This window comes from Homo sapiens, chromosome 6, assembly GCF_000001405.40.
Source record: "Homo sapiens chromosome 6, GRCh38.p14 Primary Assembly".
NCBI classification, from domain to species: Eukaryota; Metazoa; Chordata; class Mammalia; order Primates; family Hominidae; genus Homo; species Homo sapiens.
The window spans coordinates 106,574,050-106,595,805 of NC_000006.12; the positions used below are offsets into that span (position 1 = coordinate 106,574,050).

The 21,756-nt window shown below is 43.1% G+C and overlaps 1 protein-coding gene across 4 annotated transcripts in view, besides 3 other annotated features; it reads right to left on the reverse strand.

The window, feature by feature from the left end:
* The window catches only part of RTN4IP1 (reticulon 4 interacting protein 1), a 59,721-nt gene that overhangs the window by 3,279 nt on the left and 34,686 nt on the right, over positions 1–21,756 (reverse strand). For 3 of the 4 annotated variants that reach the window (NM_001318746.1, NM_032730.5, XM_011536192.3), the window contains 3 exons: positions 18,115–18,251; positions 13,630–13,813; positions 9,279–9,371 (listed from right to left, as the gene is read on the reverse strand). In NM_001318746.1, coding sequence (NP_001305675.1) covers positions 9,279–9,371; positions 13,630–13,813; positions 18,115–18,251 — 414 coding nt within the window. The remainder of the gene's footprint in view (positions 1–9,278; positions 9,372–13,629; positions 13,814–18,114; positions 18,252–21,756) is intronic. The other variant, XM_017011376.3, reaches the window with a different exon arrangement.
* Positions 1,256–1,776: an enhancer, noted in NCBI's record as "H3K27ac-H3K4me1 hESC enhancer chr6:107023180-107023700 (GRCh37/hg19 assembly coordinates)". NCBI's record gives its function as "activates a minimal SCP1, AML or CMV promoter by ChIP-STARR-seq in primed H9 embryonic stem cells {active_cell/tissue: H9 hESC(primed)}" and the evidence as "EXISTENCE:reporter gene assay evidence [ECO:0000049][PMID:30033119]".
* Positions 7,232–7,432: a silencer, noted in NCBI's record as "peak6003 fragment used in MPRA reporter construct". NCBI's record gives its function as "represses an SCP1 promoter by STARR-seq MPRAs in K562 erythroleukemia cells {active_cell/tissue: K562}" and the evidence as "EXISTENCE:reporter gene assay evidence [ECO:0000049][PMID:32103011]".
* Positions 11,302–11,996: an enhancer, noted in NCBI's record as "NANOG hESC enhancer chr6:107033226-107033920 (GRCh37/hg19 assembly coordinates)". NCBI's record gives its function as "activates a minimal SCP1, AML or CMV promoter by ChIP-STARR-seq in naive and primed H9 embryonic stem cells {active_cell/tissue: H9 hESC(naive and primed)}" and the evidence as "EXISTENCE:reporter gene assay evidence [ECO:0000049][PMID:30033119]".

The window sequence follows — 21,756 nt, forward strand, 5'->3', positions numbered from 1 at the left end:
ACGAAGCCTATTTGTCTTCTATTCTCTCCAAGAATAAGGCAGAGGGCTGTGGTGAGTCCCACTTTAGGGTGGACTGCATTAATGTTGCAGAATGGAATGCATTGATGTTTCTCGGCCCAGTGCAGTGGCTCACATCTGTAATCCCAGCACTTTGGGAAGCCGAGGCAGGCGAATCACCTGAGGTCAGGAGTTTGAGACAGCCTGGCCAACATGGTGAAACCTATCTCCACTAAAAATACAAAAATTAGCTGGGTGTGGTGGTGTGTGTCTGTAATCCCAGCTACTCGGGAGGCTGAGGCATGAGAATTACTTGAACCCGGGAGGTGGAGGTTGCAGTGAACTGAGATCGCGCCACTGCACTCCAGCCTGGGCAACAGAGCGAGACTCTGTCTCCAAAAAAAAAAAAACCAGTTGTTTCCTGTATGTCCCACATGAAACCTGAACCTATCACTCCTCCAAAGCCCCTGGGATGCTGTTTTCAGGATGCTGTTTACCTGGAAAAGGAATCACCTGAATGCATGCCTAAAATGCAGAGTCCAAGGCCTCCTGTTAGAACAACTACATCAGAACCTGTAGGGGGTGGGGCAGAAAAATGCTTCCCCAGTGATCTGTATGCACCCTAAAGTGGGACTCACCCAGCCCTTTGCCTTATTCCTGGAATCCCTAACTTGTACCATGCACATACCCATCCATTCCACAGACTGACAAAGTGCCTGCCTCCTAAGGCACTAAACCAAAACCGGCTGAACTGAATGTTCAATTTAGAGCTCTGACCGGGGACACAGATCCTGAACTGATGACACAGGCAGCTTACAGTTACTGCCCACTTTAATCTGGCTGGTCAGGCCTATTGTGGCAAATAACCCGAGAGGGCTGACCACGGCACAATGAGTCATTCAGCAATTCCCGTAAGTGACAATGGAAAAAAAGGTTTCAAATTGAAGGCAGGCAAATGCCACTGCTGGCTGAATCTGTGACAGCAAACAGAGATTAACTGGATAATGAGACAGTGTCTATGTACAGCCTCACATCAGGCCTAGAATACTTGTTTGTTAAGGACAAAGGGATCAGAGTTAAAATACAGAGGGGGGAAAGAAAGGTTACTCACAGTGAAGTAGGGATGTTTATGTGATGACGCTGCTATAGTCCACCTGGCACAGGGAGCCCTGTTATAAAGCGGGCAGGCTCAACACCATGCTTCCCACTGCGCAGACACACGAGGCTCACAGCCGGCCAGGGACGCTCACAGCAGCAGCCCTCATTCAGTCTTGGATTCATGTGTGGGGTGCTGATTGTGCCTCGCATCCCTGATACAAAGGCTGAACCAAGCCAAGCCCCAAGATTTGGCACCCGCTGCCTGACATCACTTCTGTGAGAACGTAGGGACGACGGGAACCTTAACCTCTCTGGATGTGGCCTTGGAATATTGCTGCTTACAAGACGCTAGGCAAGTCCTCCTTCCTGCTGAGGCAAAAACCCTCTCTAACACTTGAGGCTTCGGAAGACGGTACAGAAAACCTCTCACTACTGCAAGAGCATGAAGCTGCTGGTGGAGAAGGACACTGTCTAGGCAGCCATGGCAGCAGGCAGAGGTTTTCCCTCAATTCCCGTTTTCCCAGTGAGAATCACAAAACAGTAGAGTTAACATATCCGAGTGGGCCTCTTTTGATAGATTAGGAAACTGAAGTGCAAATGATTGAGTGGTAAGTGCAAGGTCAGAGCTGTCAATAGCAGAGCCAAAACAAGGACCCAGGACTCCTAATGTCATTACTGCATGGAATGGATGTAATCTGGGAAGTCACAGTCTATTCCACTTCTTTTCCTAGACCCTTGGCCTCTTCTTCCACCAGGCACAGAGGCTGCAGATCTCAGAGGGTGAGGTGTGTGAGGGGACACTGACAGGTGACAAACACCAAGGAAGACCTAAGGGCTCCTGGTCTGAGTCCAAATCCACACACCTGTGGACAGGCACCAGGACCGCAGTTCCAGCACTACCTCCTGGACAGGTATGCCCCTGACCTCTGTGAAAGGTTCAGTATTTCCTGGGTTGGGGTAAAGGGGAAGAAGGGGACTTAAACTCAGTCTACCTTTAGACAAAAAGAAGACAAAAGGAAGAGGTGAATTTTGCTCTCAGTTGCTGTTTCTCGGAAACTTCCTGCCCCAGATGGCAAACTCAAAACTGGAAGATGGGGTGAGACAGGAGGGGGATGGCAGATGGGGGAACTCTCCAAGGGAGTAAGTGTGCCATTTGGGAAAGCATCAAGGACTTGTCCCTAGGTACCCCTAAAAAATGCACTTCCAACAGCCAGAAGGTGAGAGGAGAAACCCCATATAAATTTCCTCATAGAAACAATTTCAGTAGCATCAGAAAAACCTCAGAAGCATTGAGGCCATGGGATCCATGAGATACTTGCCACATCAGGCAAGGCAGCCCTCTTCCAGTGGTCCTAGGGATTCAGTCCCTAATCACTACATTCTTTCTATGGAGCAAAATCCAGTGGCAATAAAGAACTTAAGGTTTAGAATGTACTTCGTTGCTAAACGAGGGCCCAGCTATTCAAGACGGACCTGGGAAATCACCTACCTCAGAACTCATTACATTTTTCTCGAAAGCTGCAGTGTCCAATATGGTAGCCTCTAGACACGTGACTATTTACGTTAATCAAAAGTAAGTAAATAAAATGAAAAAGTCAGTCTCTCAAGTTGCACTTGCTACATTTCAAGTGCTCAGTGGCTTAGTGGCCACCAAGTGAATACTGCAGACAGAGAACATCTCTATCACTGCACAAAGTTCTAGAGGACAGGCTGCTCAAAAGGTAACTGAGTGTGACCAACACATTTCTCCACCATCTACTGGGTCAAGTAAGTGATAGTGGGCCTTCAGTAAGTGTTCTGAATTGAACTCAAATATGGTGCATAAGAACTATTCTGATGCTGGCTAAAATAAATCAACTGAGAAATCTATATCACTGTTCAACCAAGATGCTTGGCTGGCATCTAAGATTTTGAATATACCTGTGAACATTAAGCTCCTAACATCAGAAGGCTTACTAATTAGATGAAGAATATACATGTATCAATAAACATTCAAAAATATCTTCCTGGCCGTGTGCAGTGGCTCACACCTATAATCTTAGCACTTTGGGAAGCCCAGGCAGGCAGATTGCCTGAGCTCAGGAGTTCAAGACCAGCTTGGGCAACATGGCAAAACCTTGTCTCTACAAAAAATACAAAAAATTTAGCTGGTCAGGGGCATTCCTGTCCAAGAGGTAGTGCTGGGTAGTGCTATATGGGGGGCTGAGGTGGGAGGATCACTTCAGCCCAGGAGGTCAAGGCTGCAGCGAGGTGAGATCACACCACTACACTCCAGCCTGGGTGACAAAGTGAGACCCTGTCTCAAAAAAAAAAAAAAAAAAAAAAAAAGATCTTCCTCCCATACTTGATTTCTAGCCATCTGGTTTCCCACCTCAGGAGCAACCAAGGTTTCTAGTTGCTCTCATAACCTTTTTGAAGTATTTTATGCATTGTGGTAGGCAGAATAATGGCCCCCAAAGATGTTCACATCCTGATTCCCAAAATGTGTGAATATGGCACCTTACATGGCAAAAGGACTTTGCTGGTGTGATTAAGTTAAGGATCCTGAGATGCAGAGATTATCCTGGATTATCCAAGTGGGCCCAGTGTAATCTCAGGGTCCTTATAAGGGGAAGGCAGGAGGGTTAGAGGTCAAAGATTAACAGAAGCAGAGGTTGGAGTGATGTAGCCACAAGTCAAGGGAGGTACAGCCTCTAGAAGCTGGAGAAGGCAAGGAAACAGATCCTCCCGTATAGCCTGCTTCCAGGAGGAATGCAGCCCTGCCCATACATTTGGACTTCTGACCAAAATCTTATTATTATAAGATAATAAATTTGTGCTGTCTTAAGCCACCACATTCATAGTAATTTGTTACTGCAATAGGAAACTAATGCATGCATATATAAGCAAATATGTATAAATATTTTCCTTCAAAACACAGTTACACAGTCCTTCTTAGCAGCAGGTATCATCTGAAGACTGCCTCACCACCACCTCCTCTCAGTCCTGCAAGATACTGAGAAATACAAGATGACAGAGTAAAATACCAAGAACTCAAACTCTAGGTAACAATGTCTGGATGATTATTTAAGCAGAAAACAATGAAGACTGTAGAAGGAACTGTCGTAAGGGTCAAGAGACCTGGGCCCTGCCTATGTGACCTTGAACACATCATTTAATTTCTTAGGGCCTCTGTCCCTTCAAATGTGACATCACAGCAGGATGAGGGATAAAGGGATGAAGACAGTAAACTAGACAAGTGCAAAGCTTTCCTCTTTCCAGTCTGTGAGTATGCTATTCAATGGCATATGCGTGACCTGAATAGAATTTTTGCTATATCTCCTCCCACCAAAAAGTAAGTGTGTTAAATAGTATGAAAACAGGAACTGTTTTTTGTGCTTAGGAGAAAATGCCAATAAACTGTAGGCATGAGGCACGTCAGTACCAACCCAGTACGCTTAAGGGGATAATTATAAATCATTCTTTTTGAGAATGCCCAGAACAGCAGTTTGCAAACTAGTGTCCAAGAGCCCAGGGCTCCTTGGCTGTGTGGAGCAGCTGCGGGGAAAGAACATTTGTCGGGGAGGTCACTCCCTGCCACCATTTCACCAGCAGAGCAGCTCCTCCTCTGCCTATTCTGTAAACTGGAGCTTGGCCTGACTGGGTTTCAGTTAAAAAACATTTAACTTCTAGTTTAAGATAAGGATCGGCAAACTTTTTCTGTAAAGGCCTAAATAGTGAATGTCTTAGGCTTTGCAGGCTTCACATGGTCTAAGTTCTTCTTCTTCTTCTTTTTTTTTTTTTTAACAAATCTTTAAAAATATAAAAACCAGCTGGGCGTGGTGGCTCACGCCTGTAATCCCAGCACATTGGGAGGCCAAGGTGGGTGGATCACGAGGTCAAGAGATTGAGACCAGCCTGGCCAACATGGTGAAACCCTGTCTCTACTAAAAATGCAAAAAATTAGCCGGGCGTGGTGGCAGGCGCCTGTAGTCCCAGCTACTCAGGAGGCTGAGGCAGAAGAATCGCTTGAACCCAGGAGATGGAGGTTGCAGTGAGCCGAGATCGTGCCACTGCACTCCAGCATGGTGACAGAGCAAGACTACATCTCAAAAAAAAAAAAAAGTAAAAACCATTCTTGGCTCAGAGGATGTGCAAAAACAGGCCTCAGACTGAATGTGGCCCACAGGCTGTAGTTTGCCAACCACTTTATCTAAGACATAATGAAAATACTAGGTAACTTAAAATTCAAACTGAAATTGTGCCCAGATAGGATGAATATGGAGTCCTACGACTTGCAATAAGGCTTCGTGATGACAGTCATGTGAAAACAATGCCTAAGACTGGATCTCCAGGAAAAACAGACTGTGAGGTCACCACATATTTAGGAAATTTCAGCTCCTCTTCACTTTTGAGCCTGACAATAGTGAGCACATTAAAGGCAGGAAACCAAAACATTTACTGAGTGCTGCACTGGGAGAAAGCAAAGGTAGGGTTGTTGTTCATAAAGAAGGTAGAAGGACAATGCTATTAACAGATTGACAGAGAGTGCTCATTATTGTGGATATTAACTCGGTGGCTTCTCCATTTTTACTGGGGCATGCAGGGCTAACAAGCAGAATTTAGACTCTATCAGTAATACTCATTAATCCAGATTCTTTTTTTTTTTTCCTTGAGATGGGATTGCCCTATGTTGCCCAGGCTGGTCTTGAACTCCTGGGCCCAAGCGATCCTCCCACCTCAAACTTTTAAGTAGCTGGGATCACAGGCATGAGCCACCACGCCCAGCTCAGATATTAAGATAGTTTAGGCCGGGCGCAGTGGCTCACGCCTGTAATCCCAACACTTTGGGAGGCTGAAGTGGGTGGATCATGAGGTCAGGAAATCGAAACCATCCTGGCTAACACGGTGAAACCCCATCTCTACTAAAGATACAAAAAATTAGCCGGGCATGGTGGCGGGCGCCTGTAGTCCCAGCTACTTGGAAGGCTGAGGCAGGAGAATGGTGTGAACCCGGGAGGCGGAGCTTGCAGTGAGCTGAGATCGCGCCACTGCACTCCAGCCTGGGCGACAGAGCAAGACTCTGTCTCAAAAAAAAAAAAAAAAAAAGATAGTTTAAATCACAAGTGACCAGTAACCAGACCTTCTTCACATTCTTAAAAACAAGTCTCTAATGAAGTAAAATGGTTCAGAGGGTAAGATAATGGGTAAGTAAAGAGAGAAGGGGCCTAGAAGGTAGGCCACAAGATAAATTCCAGACACTAAATATATATACTAGATTTTCAAAAGCTGTCTATTTTAATATCTATTAAAGGCTAAGTGCAGTGGCTCATGTCTGTAATCCCAGCACTTTGGGAGGCCAAGGCAGGTGGATCATCTGAGGTCAGGAGTTCAAGACCAGTACAGCCAACAGGGCGAAACCCCATCTCTACTAAAAATACAAAAATTAGCCAGGTGTGGTGGTGGGCACCTGTAATCCCAGCTACTCAGGAGGCTGAGGCAGGAGAATCGCTTGTACCCGGGAAGTGGAGGTTGCAGTGAGCTGAGATCACACCACTGCACTCCAGCCTCGGCGACAGAGCAAGACTCTGTCTCAAAGAAAAAAAAAAAAAAACGATCAAAATTATAAATGCATATCTCTTTTGACTCAGCAATTCCATTTCCATAAACAGAAATGGTTATATATACAATTAGGTACTAAACATAAATATTGGGTTATCCACTGAAGCACTGTTTGCAAAAGACTGAAATTAAACAAATTATGGTACACCCATACAAATACTATGTAGCTGTTAACAAAAAAGGAATGAGAAAGCTTTTATATCCTGACATAAAACAAATTTGAACATATGCTGTTAAAAAAAAAAAAAAAGCAGGTTGCAGCACAGTATGTTATCCATTTTGTTAGGAGAGAAAGAAGAGAGAGAGAGGAAAAAAATTATTTTTCCTGTTTTGATAGAGTATCTTTGGAATACCCAAGAAACTAGTAATATTGGTTGCATCTGACAAGCAGAATCTCAGTGACTGAGATATAGCAGTCAAAAGAAGACTTCTTGAAATAACTTTTTCCATCTTTAGGGTTTTTGAACCTTATGAATGTATTTTTTCAAAGTTCAAGTATTTTAAAAGAGTTGGCTCTGTTGTTTCACAGCTTTTCACGATCAAAAAACAACTGTAGCTTTTCTAACAGTTACCTGCTAATGAGAATCATGAAGCGCTCAGCCAAAGCTTGGAAGAATTTAAATGTCCTCCTCCAATTTAACAAATCTCTACCAACCACACAACACATAAGTAAGATCTGCTGTGTCATTCCTTCTAATTTCCCAGGATAAAAAGGCAATGACCTCTCACATCCACACAGAAGCAAGGACACGACAAGAGAGCTGGCCTCATCAAGGCATCCAGTGCCACATACCAACTTCACAGTCCCAGAACCCCTCATTGCCAGAAATGACTCCCAAGCCCAAACAGCTTGTGCAGGAGAGGAGAATCAAAGCACAAGGCACATTTGCTCACTCAACCTCCTTGGAGAATACTTCAAGGACATCTTTTTTTGTTGTTGTTTATCATGTCCTATTTTAGCCATTACCAGTTATCTGCCAAATGTAATAGGTAGATATATACAAGTCACCTCTCATCTCTGTTGGGTAAACAGTAATTTCCAGGCAGAGAGAGAGTCACAATATTTTGAATACAAAAGAGCAGTGGTAAGCATGTGGACAGCCTGGAGCAGATAGCAGGACAAGCACAATCGTGGACTTCTAGAGGACAAAGACCTCTCTAATAATAGGGTTCCAACCACATGAAGCACTTACTTGATGATACTTCATTCTCTTCTTCCTAGAAATAAAATAAGCATTCCTGTGGGATGTGGGAGAACCCCACAAAGGAGGAGTTACACAGTCACAATAACACTGAGCCCCTGTCCCTATCAGAACACACCAAAACTTAGAAGTCCATGAAAAGACACATAAGCCTGGAACCCAAATATTTGGGAAATAATAACAGGCCATCCTCTTATATAGTTCCTTGGCTGTGAAAGAAGAAAAACCTTAAATACATAAAAAGCAGCCATTAGTTCCCAAAAATATTCCTTTCCAAAATCGAAACGGAAAGATGAAATATGCCAGCAAGGAGCAGGGGCCAGAATAAGAAAGCCCACCTCCAGGGGCTCTGTCCAAGTGTCTCAGAGTGGTTCACACAATGCTAATGCTAGCCTGCTCTAACTCCAGTCCCTGCCCACTGCAAAGTGACAAAGATAAGACAATGTATGCTGAAGTCTCAAATCAGCTTCAAGCACTAAGAATACAGCTGAAAGGTGGAGAGGGAAAAGCACAAGAGTTTTGGTTCCATTTCTGCAAGTTTGAGCATGCCCCTTTTTCTTGGCAAGTTGGCTTTTTCACCTGTAAAATGAGAATCACCCTATCTATGATCTCACACAACCCTCTAAAAGTTCTCCATCCTATAAGTCCATATAATCTCTCAATAACATAAAAAATATCAGCACCAGAATACCACCTTCTGGGTTATTCCTCTAGAGATGGGATGTCAAGGTGGTTTAGACCATGTAAAAACCCAAATAAGCAGGTGGCAGCTGAGGAGGCTTTCAATCCCCAGAATCCCTGAAAGACCTTTTGACATCCAAAAAACGATGACCAGATGATAAGCAACAGCCCCTTTCCCACAGAGTCCACGGCAGGACAGACACTAGTAGGCAGAGTACACCAGCCAGTTGTCTTCACCCAAATCCCCATCAATCCTCACTCACCCTAGCCCTGGCCACTGACTGTCTCAGATGGACTATTTATTTGCCCTTGATTTTATTATACCCACCTAGAAATCAGGAGACCTGGGGACCTGATAAAATATTAGCAGCCCAATGTAGATCACAGCTGTGCTATGACCTAACCAAGTGTCTTTGGGGGAATCCTATAACCTCCCTGGGCCCGCCTCTTCATCTACTAAACCAAGGCGGTTTGACTAGATGAGAGAAGCTCTTGTGCAGATGGAGCAGTCTGTGTCTATGCCTCCCATGGAGACAGAACCAAAGACATAGCATGTAAACTTGGCCATGTAAGGCAGCACAAGGTCAGGTGAGCAGGCTACCTCTGTAGAGTCCCTACTAACGAGGCTCAGTGGGCAGGTCTACAGGAGGTGCTGTAGAAATACAAAGGCTTCCAATCCAGGTTTCCAGGTGCACGTACCTTTCCCGCATCCACCAGTTCTGCAATGTCATCTAAACATGGGCCACTGGCCATGAAAAATGCCCAGCGATAATGGACTCCTTTCCAGAAATGCTAAAAAGAAGAAAACAAAACATGTCAAATACAGAAAAACATAAAATCTGACTAAATGCAGATTTAGGGAAAAGCATTTTCTGGATGACTACAACAAACTGATTTCTCATTTCATGCTGACAAAATGTGTGCACAGCACCTTGGCACAATGACTGACAGAGAATGGATGCTCCATAAATGTTTAATAAATAAATAACTGAACAAAGACATATCCATGTCACTCAGGCTCCTTCTCTAAACTGTAACTGAAGAACAAGTAAGCACAGGAAAGCTTTCCTTAAAATGATCATCTAAATGGTTTTCCACAGTGGGTTTCCTCCCCATGAGGAATCGGGCTGAGACCTCTAGGCTTTCCCTACTAAGGTTTGAATAAAGCCCAGAGGCACTAGAAAAGAGGTTTTCACCAAATTCAAAAATGTTTTGGGGACAATAAGTCACCAAAATATGATCTTAGACAAGAAGCCCAATCACAATTTTTTTTTCTGGCTCTGACAGGAATAAAGTGGCTTTAAAGGGAAAACAAAGTGCAAAGTTCCTTATACATCACGGCTGAATCTTTCCCTATGGTTATGGCAAATACAAAGCCATCTCATCTATTACAGGGCAATACCCTCCAAATGAAGATGAGTACAAATCTTACACCAAGAGGGTTCATGACCACTCTACTGCCACTTATAAATGTTATTCTTTGTTTATTTAATTGAGAAAGGGTCTTGCTATGTTGCCCAGGTTGGTTTTGAACTCCTGGTCTCAAGCAATCCTCTCACCTCAGCCTCCCAAAGTGCTAGGATTACAGGCGTGAGCCACTGTGCCTGGCTGTAATTGTTATTCTTTATGTCAAAGGTAGGGTAGGCCATTACGGAAACAGCAAACGAGCTGAGGTTCTCCATGATACCTCAATGACCTGCCCAACCAAACCTTCATCAGATGGGAGCAATGTGAGGTAGCAGAGGGTCAGCCAGTACCACAGTGCTGCCCTCTCCACAACTACCCACAACTGCGAGGTGAGCTCAGACTTCTTTGCCATTGAGCTTACACTCAGTATGATATAAGCTACTACCATGGCGTGAGGCTGAAAAATGCAATGGAAACCCCCTACAACAGCACTTACTAGTTGCATTATTTTTGTTTTGTTGTTTTTTTTAGTTATGTTATTTTTGTCAGGCTACCTCTTTCAGCCCATTTCCTGTAGAATGGTGGTACCACCACCTAGCTTGCAGGATTGTTGGAAGGATTAAATGAGAATGAATACAAAATGCCTCACACATAGGAAGTATTCTATCAATACTTGTCCAGTGCTAAAAGTGAAACTTACTGAGGAAAGACTGAGACAATACCAATTCAGTTTAAGAATGTGGAAAGAAAGAAAAAACTAAGCAGTTGCCTAGGCAAAGCTTCCCACTGGGTGTGCCAGGATGGCTTACTGGGTGAGTGACCCTATAGATTATCGTCTAACCCAGAAAACCTGTGAGAGCTAAAGGATTCATCATTAATAATTACCCTAGGACTACAGATATAAAGAGAGTCAAGCTTACTCTAGAATTGGTGTGATGAGATATTGACTCCCCTTAGCCCTCAGCATAGCCAGGCAAAGCCAGGGCTGGTAGAAGTCTCCAGATAGGCTGGTCTTAGAGGAGTAGGGCTTGGTTTGTTCATCTCTATTACCCAAGGCAGCCTCTACATGCTGTTCAAATACTATCATTTTCTATGTCTGTCATGGCATGAAAGATGTTGAGATGCACTGGTTTATGCAACTAACTTAAAAAGAAGAGGCCAGGCACACTGGCTCACACCTATAATCCCAACACTTTGGGAGACCAAGGTGGGAGGATTGCTTGAGGCTAGGAGTTCAAGAGTAGCTTAGGCAACACAGCAAGACTCTGTCTCTACAAAACAAGAAAAAGAAAAAAGCTGTTTGAAGAATTATGTGGCTAAATGCCAGAAGCACTGAGAATGTCCCAAGCTTACTGTGGATCCAGTAAATGACAATCACAGAAGATCTGTTCAAATACTTTTCCCTAAGGTCTGGCTTCATAGACTGCAATTAAAACATTCTGGTAATTGTTTAGGGTATTAAAGAAGGAACAGAAATGGTCACAACTGCCACATCTGTAACTCTTCACAGCATGTGGCTCTGTAAAGTGAAACTTTTGGTCTGTAATAGCAGAATTTTAATATTCTGCTATAAGAGGTCTGTGTTATTCCCCCCCTACCCAGGCCACTATAGGAGAGAAAGTAAACCAAAGCAGGTAGGAGAGTCAGAAGCATGACAATGAGGCTTTAACTACGTGCACAATCAGAAAGACATTGAAAACTACTTAAAAGGTTTTCACATGAGATTACCACTATCATCTTTCAAGTAGGAGGAAAAGAGAATGAAGAGAGCTGTGCCTGTTTTACTCTCCGAGGACAACTCTGAAGGTTAACTTGTAAGAGGTCTCACTGGAGTACAAACTGAAATCTTACAGAAAACTTAAACTTACATTTTAAAGCACTGGAAAATCTGGGTTTTGTGAAAGAGAAAGAAGAGACAAGGGACAGCTAAGAGCCCTTTCTCCACAAAGTACCCTGTGGACACTGTTTCTGGCTACTGTCTGAATCAAATGAAAATAAAGAACACCACAGTGCAGCGCTTGGTTTGTTCATTTCTATTACCCATAATATTTCATAAGAATTGAGTCGTGGTCTCCTCCATCATAGCTCTTTGTTACGACCTCTAAGTACTTAGTACACAGAATTCAAGAGACCAAAGTCCTAAGTTTCATCCCCATAAAAGGTCCCAAATTAATATCTGGAATAAATAAAATGCTAAAGATAATTATCAAGCCAGTCATCTCACAAACGTGGGTCAGCGTTGGTCGGACTGACACAGCGACTCACAGCCTTTTTACCACTGAGGAACTTTCTACTGCCTTGTTCCAGAGTCTCAAGTATTTTGCTTAATTTAAAAAAATAGAATTTGTTTTTTTTTTGAGACAACGTCTTCCTCTGTTGCCCAGGCTGCAGTACAGTGGCACGATCATGGCTCACACCCTCTGTCTCCCAGACTCAAACCATCCTCTGGCCTCAGCCTCCTGAGCAGCTGAACTACAGGTATACACCAACATACCTGGCAAATTTTTTTATTGTTTTGTAGAGATAAGCTCTCACTATGTTGCCCAGGCTGGTTTTAAACTTCTCAGACTTAAGCAATCCTCCCATCTCCACCTCCCAAAATGATGGGATTACAGGCATAAGACACCGTGCCCAGCCTATCTTTATTTTTTCTATCATGTATTCCATTTTAACATCAATTCATATTTTAAACCAATGATCTATAATTACCACCAGTTTATCCCATGAAATTATAAAAGCCTCTCTCCCCACTGTGATGACAACAGGCTACGAGGTAAAGTAGAGAGCAGACGCTCAAGCTCTGCTATTAGTCTTGTAACTGAGGCTCATCTGCCCTAGTCTCCAAGGCCCGCCACTCACCGATGTGTGCAATTTGGGTGAGATGTATTCAGTTTTGAGCTCCATACAGCCCTGGTAAAAGTGGCCCTGTTTCTGAGTCAGGCTGACTAACCAAGTCCCAGAAACTCCCATCATGCCATTAATAGCTGGAGTTTCAAATTTACACGGAATACACAGTGTTAGAACAAGTTGATACAATCCCAGCAGAGGCATGAGTGGAGGCTTACTCAAGTAAAAGTACAACTTGTTTTACTCATAGACCTCTAAATGTCTGAAAGCCCCAGTCTGGGAATCACTGGTCTATCCCAATACAATGAAAACAGCAGCTGTAAGTTTTCATCTTTATATACAAGAGACTTTAAGTGTTAAGACATGAAACAGAGAGAGGGTCATCAGGTAGAGACAAGAAGGAAGCACAGACAGTACATCAGATGTAATCAAGAGAGGCAATAAGTAATAATAAAGGCAACATTTAATAAGGGCTTTTTATGTACTAGGCATTATGCCATGTCTCCATATGGACTACTTCATTTGATCCTTACAACAATGCAGTAAGGTAGATCTATTAACAGCCTCATTTTACAGGGGAAGACATTGGGGCTTAGAGACATTCAGTAACTTGCACAGGGTTACACAGCTACTAAGTAGAGGTCAGATTTTGAAGCCAGTCACTGTGACTGCAGAGTCCATGCTTGCAACCACCGTGCTATGCGGCCTCCAAGAGAAGAGAAACTGGCTAGGTGGGAAACCAATTTCTAGCAGCAGGAGGCTGCCTGCAGTCACCAACCAAGACCCTTCTTCCTACCTTTAATGCCTTTGAACCTACAGTGACTCCTGTCTGCAACATGCCATCTGCTATGCCCAATCGGTCCATGTTCAGGAGGAAAGGAGTCACCAAAGTCACATAGGTGGCTCCTGACCATTTCTTGAGAAAATCTGGAGCCCATGTTTCAGTGGATCCGCCAACATTATCAAGGATAAAATCAAATCTGGAGAGGAAGAACCAAATCAAAACATGGTTGTCAGGCTTTACACTGGACTCTGATCCTCCTTCCCTTCCAGTACCAGTTGGCTTAGGGTTTATTTCAGTGACAAATCTTAAACTGTGCTGCACCTCGCCATCCTGCAGAGGGGTGGCTGCTTTGATGGAGATGGAAGGACATACTCATTCACTGGATCTATGACTTTTCTCCAAGGTAAGTTTAATGTGACTAATTTTTGTCATAAAATCATTTCATTTTCTAGTACTTTAGAATGGCTTCAGCAAGTAGTTCTGAAAAGAGAGTGGTTTTGGCTCACTACAATGCACAGAATAGCCCCTCACAAGCTAAAAAATTTTCCAGCCCAAAATGTCGATAGTTGAGAAACTAAGGTTGCCAAGGTTGAGAAAGTCTGACTTAATTAAGCTTTGTAAAAAACTGCAAAGCTTTCCATTCTCTATAAAGTATTCTTTAGTGCACATGGATACTTGAAAGTAAAATATGAGATTTTCACCTACAAGAATGATTTGCTTTTATTCTCTTTACAGTCAGAAATGCTCATGGAAGCATCCTCTTCACCTTCTGAAATTTTCTATCATTTGGTTTCAGGTACAGCATCAGGACAATGCAAAAGGAGAAATGAACAGCCTGTTCTAACATGCCAAAAAAATTCAGCCATAATGGAATCCACAGAAACTGACAGATATTCAACTTCTTACATCTAAACTAAAACTTCTGTAATCACTATATTCTATTGAAAAGGGATAAAAATAAGCTTTGAAATAATTTTGAAAACAAAGATCTATATAGAGAATACATGCAAATAAACTGAGCAAATCAGTTGATGAATTCCTTTTTGGTAAATCTTTTCTCCCAAATTCATCTGGATGATGTCAAACATTAAAGTTCCTAAAACCACTTTGGCCAACTTTGTGGATCTTGAGTATCTTATAGAACTAAAATAAAGAAGGGCAAGGCCGGGTGCAGTGGCTCATGCCTGTAATCCCAGGACTTTGGGAGGCCGAGTCGGGTGGATCACCTGAGGTCAGGAGTTCGAGACCAGCCTGACCAACATGGAGAAACCCTGTCTCTATTAAAACTGCAAAATTAGCCAGATGTGGTGGCACATGCCTGTAATCCCAACTACTCAAGAGGCTGAGGCAGGAGAATCGCTTGAACCCGGGAGGCAGAGGTTGTGGTGAGCCGAGGTCATGCCATTGCACTCCAGCCTGGGCAACAAGAGCGAAACTCAGAAGAAGAAGAGGAAGAAGAGGAAGAAGAAGAAGAGGAAGAGGAAGAGGAAGGAGGAGGAGGCGGTGGAGGAGGAGGAGGAGGGAGGAGGAGGAGGGAGGGGGAGGAGGGAGGAGGAGGGAGGAGGAGGGAGGGAGGAGGAGGAGAAGGAGGAGGAGAAGGAGAAGAAGAAGGAGAAGAAGAAAGAGAAGAAGAAGAGGAGGAGGAGGAGGAAGAGGAAGAAGAGGAAGAGGAAGAAGAAGAAGAAAAAAGGCAATTAAAATCTAAGGATATGAAATGCAGGAGCATGATGACCTTAATAGATGACCATTCTTTTCACTAAAAAAGTGTCTACTTCATTTCCAAGTTTTGAATGAACAAATCTGAGGATACTTAACTTAAAGAAAACTTAAGGGCAGCCTGGTATTATAGAACAGGCATTGTCTGAGAAAGAAATCTGGAGACCAGGTTGTGGATCCAGCTCTCCCAACAAATGACTGGTGGCATGACCTCAAGTATGCAAAAACTCATAACTCCTCTGCCCTTCACTTTCTCAACTACAGCATCATAGGGTTGGACTGAAGGATTTCAAAGCCCCTTCTTGCTATAAAACTCTAAGATTCAAATACCTAAAAAGCTGCTATTTGGAAGGAGGAACATATTTATCCTAGGTAGACTGAGAGGTCAAACTCCAGGCAGAAATTACAAAGATCAATTTTAACTAAAGCTATCAAAGAAAAGAAGTAGTAACGGCATGCATTTATAAGTCACGAAGTTCCCCCTACTAGAAAAGTACAAGCGAAAGGAGCAAGACCACTTGCCAGGAAGAGATGCCAAGGAGGGAAGCATAGCACCGCTTTGGGAGCCTAGACTGAGTGTCCTCTAGCCTTCCGTCTGTCAAGTTCTCCTACTCTCTGGTGACAAATTCCAGACATGTATAAAACTTAAGGTAGGCCAGGTGCAGTGGCTCATGCCTGTAATCCCAGCACTTTGGGAGACCAAGGAAGGCGGATCACCTGAGGCCAGGGGTTCAAGACCAGCCCGGCCAACATGGTGAAACTATCTCCACAAAAAAAAAATTGAAAAATTAGCCGGGTGTGATGGTGGGTGCCTGTAATCCCAGCTACTCAGGAGGCTGAGGCACAAGAATCACTTGAATCCAGGAGGCAGAGGTTGTGCCAAGATCACGCCATTGCACTCCAGCCTGGGCAACAGAGTGAGACTTCATCTCAAACAAAAACAAATACAAAAAAACAAAACAAAACCCCTTAAGGTAGATAGAGGGGAATGGGTAGAACTTGGCCCCAGTATCATGTTGCTATTCCTAGAAGCATCAGAAGATACAAGATCGGGCTGGGCGCGGTGGTTCACGCCTGTAATCCCAGCACTTTGCAAGGCCGAGACAGGTGGATCACGGGGTCAGGAGTTCGAGACCAGCCTGGCCAACATGGTGAAACCCCATCTCTACTAAAAATACAAAAATTAGCCAGGCGTGGTGGCGCACACCTGTAATCCCAGCTACTTGGGGGGCTGAGGCAGGAAAATCACTTGAAACCGGAAGGCAGAGGTTGCAGTGAGCCAAGATCGTGCCACTGCACTCCAGCCTGGGCGACAGAGTGAGAATCCATCTCAAAAAAAAAAAAAAAAAAAAGATACAAGATCAACCTAAACTACTGCTTTCTAGAAGCCAGATCTCAGAGACCTGTCATGTCGTCACTCTCAAGGCGCCCAAAGAGGCTTAGGCCCTGACACACAGACAAGACGGTAGCTGACAAAATCTCTGAAAGGGACAATGTTAGTCCTTAAACATGCCAGGCATGTTCCGGACATGGGAGCTTTAGGTTGCTGTTCTTTCCAGCTGGAACAATTGTTCTCCTAGATTCCCTCAATAATTAAATAAATATTATTAAGCACCTACTACATGCTACTACACTCTTCCAGCTGGAGGGATACAGCAGGGAGCAACACACAAACACACAAATCCCATTCATTTGACTTGCTCACTAAAGCCTCCACTCAAATGTTGCTTCCTCAGTGAGGCATTCTTTAACCTTGCTATTTATAACAGCCTCCTCCCTATCTATTCCCTTTCATTTTTTTTCAGAGCACCTACCACTAAAACCGCCCAAACAAGAATGTAAGCTCCATGAAAGTGGGCATTTGTCTGGTTCACCACTGTAGCTGGTGTTTGGAACCCTGCCTGGCAAGAGTAGAAGCTCCCTGAACAGTTGAAGGAATGATGAGTTGGCTGGCTGCTGCTGGGTGCACCACCAAACTACTGCTAGAAGTTGGTGGCACTGGCTGAGAAAGGCTGGGCGGTGTCAGATAAGGACTCCCTTTTTTTTCTTTTTTCTTTCTCTTTAAAAATATACTTCTACTCAATGTGGTCAAGAGTAGTTGACTTCTGAAAACTAATCAAAAAAGGGAAAACCTTTTAAACAGAAGCAGTAAAATAGCTTTCCAAATACTCCTCATTTCTGCTCTCAGCTTCAGCTTGGTCTTGGCTGGATAAAGGTCAGATGAATAAGCTGGAGTCACAGTCAGAATCAACATGACCCAAGAGAATTCCTGAATGCATTCCTGCTTGGTACCTCAGGCCAAACCACAGCCTGGCATTCAGACACACTGGGAACATCCACAGTGCTCCCATTACCAAGATTTAGACTTACACTGTTTCTCTTAAGCCTTTTTTAAGCCAAAACACGAAAGTATGTTTTGGGCTAATCATGTATTTCATGAACTACTCTATATTCTTCCTGTGGTGACAGATGCCACAGAAGGGAACACATTTCCAATTTTGTCTTCAGGCCTCTTACAAACCAGCATGCTAACTTAAAAATTAGCAAAGACCATGTAAGCAAAATAACTTCCTCAGTGCCTATCCACATGCTGTTACTGTGTTGTATTAACATCTGGAATTAAAACAGAAGCCAACCTAAGTAACTTCTAGTGACATGGAATGTTTTCATAGATCCTTCTCAAGATTCCAACATGATTGTAAAGCCACCAAGCCATCTCAGACCTGCATAATCAACTGTCCTTGTTCCCACTCCCAGTGTGAACATTGTTCTAATACATACGGTTTTAAGGATTTCAACTGCTCTTCCACACTTCCAGATTTGTAATCAATTACATCGTCTGCACCAAGCTTCCTTACAAGTTCACTGGCATCTTGGGAGCAAACTGCTGTCACATGAGCATCCCATGCTTTCATTACCTGCCCCCCACCAAAAAGAAAAAAAGAATAAAAAAGGGAGAGATTAGAAAAACTGACTGCATTGAAAAAAAAATCATTGGCACCATGTATACATATATCAGACTAATCTCTAGAGAACTTTAAGTACGTCATCTTAACCAGAACTATAGGAAGCCATCTGTCAGAGACTAGTAAAAATGGTCAAACTTTTGTTCAGTAAGAAAATCCCAAGAAAGAGATCTCATTTTCCCTACATGAGACAGCCAGCCACCTTATTGTCATGAAGTTATAACTAATCCACTTAGAGAGGGACTCAGTGCCTCAACAGTAACAGAAAAGACAGGAGTTGAAAGCCTCAAATTTGCCAAGTGCGGTGGCTCACGCCTGTAATCCCAGCACTTTGGGAGGCCGAGACAGGTGGATCACCTGAGGTCAGGAGTTCGAGACCAGCCTGGCCAACATGGTGAAACCCCGTCTCTACTAAAAATATAAAAAATTAGCTGGACATGGTAGCGGGCGGGCACCTGTAATCCCAGCTACTTGGGTGGCCAAGGCAGGAGAATCGCTTGAACCCCGGAGGCAGAGGTTGCAGTGAGCCAAGATCGTGCCATCGCACTCCAGCCTGGGGTACAAGAGTGAGACTTCATCTCAAAAAAAAAAAAGCCTCAAATTTAGCACTTTCAAGGATAGCAAAGTTAAATGGCCCAAAAATAGTATGTCTTCAGAAAAATGACTATTTAAAATGTATACAGAACATTAAAATGCCACATATCTTCATTTGCATCTCTAATAAGTGTTAACACAATATTGAATCAGAAAGCGTGTCAAAGTAATGAGCTATTAAGTAATAGGTAACATATGAAAAGGTTCTCTTAAAAAGAAGGGGAAGAAACTATAATCATTTTTTCTTAAAAACTTGGATCAGGTCCTCTCCCTTGGAGTAAGAAAACCTAAATAAATGTTACCCAGGTTTTAAAATGCAGATGCCTTATATTTTAAAATAATAAAGAATAACTAGATTTAAATTAAAAGGAGAGCTAAATTCTAATGTTATTCAGAATTAAGTATCCAGAAAGCATTCTGCTCCAAAATTGCTAAAATTCTTTTCTATAATGTTAATTTCATAGACTTAAAAGGGGGCTATTTTCAGCTAATTTGAGAATAGCCACTTGAAGATTACTAAGAAATTTTTGTGCAGATAATTATAGATCATAAGAGATCACTTGTTTTCTCAATCTTGTCCTAAGTATCAATTTCCTGAACTTCCTTAATATAAGATATAAAGGCTCACTAGAATACAAGGGATCTGTGTTTGTCTGGTTCACTATTGAATCCCTACTCCATGGCACACAAAGGTGCTTAGTAAATTTCTGTTAAATACAAAATGTAAATAAAGGGTTTTTAACTTATTCATAATCTTACCCAATTTCTCACTTTTAAAAAGCAACATTGACCAAAGACTTATATATCCTGAAAATCTGTGGGGAATTGAAATATTTAGGAGTGATATGATATACAATTTATTGTTTATGGGCTGCAAACAGAGACACTTGAGTGTAATGATACGTTGCTTTTCACAGCAAGTCCCAAATCAAATTCAAATATGTGAAGAATATAATCCAAGATGAATAGCTCATTGTGACCATCCTTTCTCTATACCTATATTAAAAAAGAAACTATTGAGGAAAAAGAAAAGTATGTTCTAAGCACCCACATTTAATACATGTTTTTCTTTAAACAGTATTAAATCCTCAGGAAGAATCTGTCACATGTTGAAACAGGTTTTTTTCCTCAAATTTCTGGTTTTTCCCCTCAAATTTCTAGTTTTTCCTTTCCCATTTAGAGCTATTTATTATCTTTGAACATTATGAAAATGTTTTAAAAACAGTTTTACTTAATAAAAATTTTTCATGTAATATAAAACACAACTATAGAAAACACCTATAGACGGGGTGTGGTGGCTCATACCTGTAATCGCAGCACTTTGGGAGGCTGAAATGGATGGATCACTTGAGCTCAGGAGTCTGAGACCTGCCTAGGCAACGTAGTGAAACCCCGTCTCTACTAAAAATACAAAAAAGTAGCTGGGCCTGGTGATGCATGCCTGTGGTCCCAGCTACTCAGGAGGCTGAAGTGGGAGGATCGCTTGAGCCGGCGGGGGTGGAGGTTGCAGTAAGCCAAGGTCGTACCACTGCACTCCAGCCTGGGTGACAGAGTGAGATTCTGTCTCAAAAAACAAAAAACAAAAAAAGAAAGAAAGAAAGAAAACAGCTATAGGGTGAACACCACCCAGATAAAGCAGCAGCACACTGGAAGCTATGCCAAAAATTCTCCCATGTGCCCCAAACCACAGAAGCCCCTCCTACCCTTTCCCAAAATAATTATTCTGATTTTTATAGTAATCACCTCCTTGCATTTCAAAAAGTTTATCACCCAACAATGCAGTCTCTAGACACTATAGTCTTGTGCATTCTTAAAACGTGGTATCTTTTAAATCTCTTTTTTTATTATTTATTTTTGGGTTGTTTTGGTTTTTTATTTGAGACAGTCTCACTCTGTTGCCCAGGCTAGAGTGCAGTGGCATGATCTCGGCTCACTGCAACCTCCACCTCCCAGGTTCAGGTGATTCTCCTGCCCTCAGCCTCCCGAGTAGCTGGCACTACAGGCACGTCACACCACGCCTGGCTAATTTTTGTATTTTTAGTAGATATGGGATTTCACCAGGTTGGCCAGGCTGGTCTTGAACTCCTGAGCTCACGTGATCCACCCGCCTTGGCCTCCCAAAATGCTGGGATTACAGGTGTGAGCCACTGTGCCCGGCCTTAAGTCTCTTTTAAATCATAGGCTCCTGTTCTATCCCTTTGCTTTCCTATAATTTATCTATGGAAGAATCTAGGCCATTTGATCTGTGGAGTTTCCCACAGTCTGGAATTTCTAACTGCACACCCACGGGACAGTTCCACACGTCGCTCTGTCCTCTGTATTTTCTGCAACTCGGCAGATGGATCTGGAGACTAGATCTGATTCCATTTCAATCCCTTTAGCAAAACTATGGACAGTGTCTGGCAAAACTAGAGGAGGCACATCATGTCTGCTTGAGGCTCTCTTTATTATCTTAGCAGCTGTCAATGCTTAATACCCATATCTGCTTATTGGTGGTTGCGAAATAGTGATCTTCTAATTCTACTTCTTTTATTTAAGTAGTTGGAATACTTTCTTTCTTTTTTTTTTTTTTTGTGGGGGACAGTCTCGCTCTGTCCCAGGCTAGAGTGCAGTGGCGTGATCTCTGCCCACTGCAACCTCTGCCTCCTAGGTTCAAGCAATTCTCCTGCCTCAGCCTCCCGAGTAGCTGAGATTACAGGTGCCCACCACCACGCCCGGCTAATTCTTGTATTTTTATTAGAGAAGGGGTTTCGCCATGTTGGCCAGGCTGGTCTGGAACCCTTGACCTGAGGTGATCTGCCCGCCTTGGCATCCCAAAGTGCTGAGATTACAGGCATGAGCCAACGCGTCCAGCCTGAATACT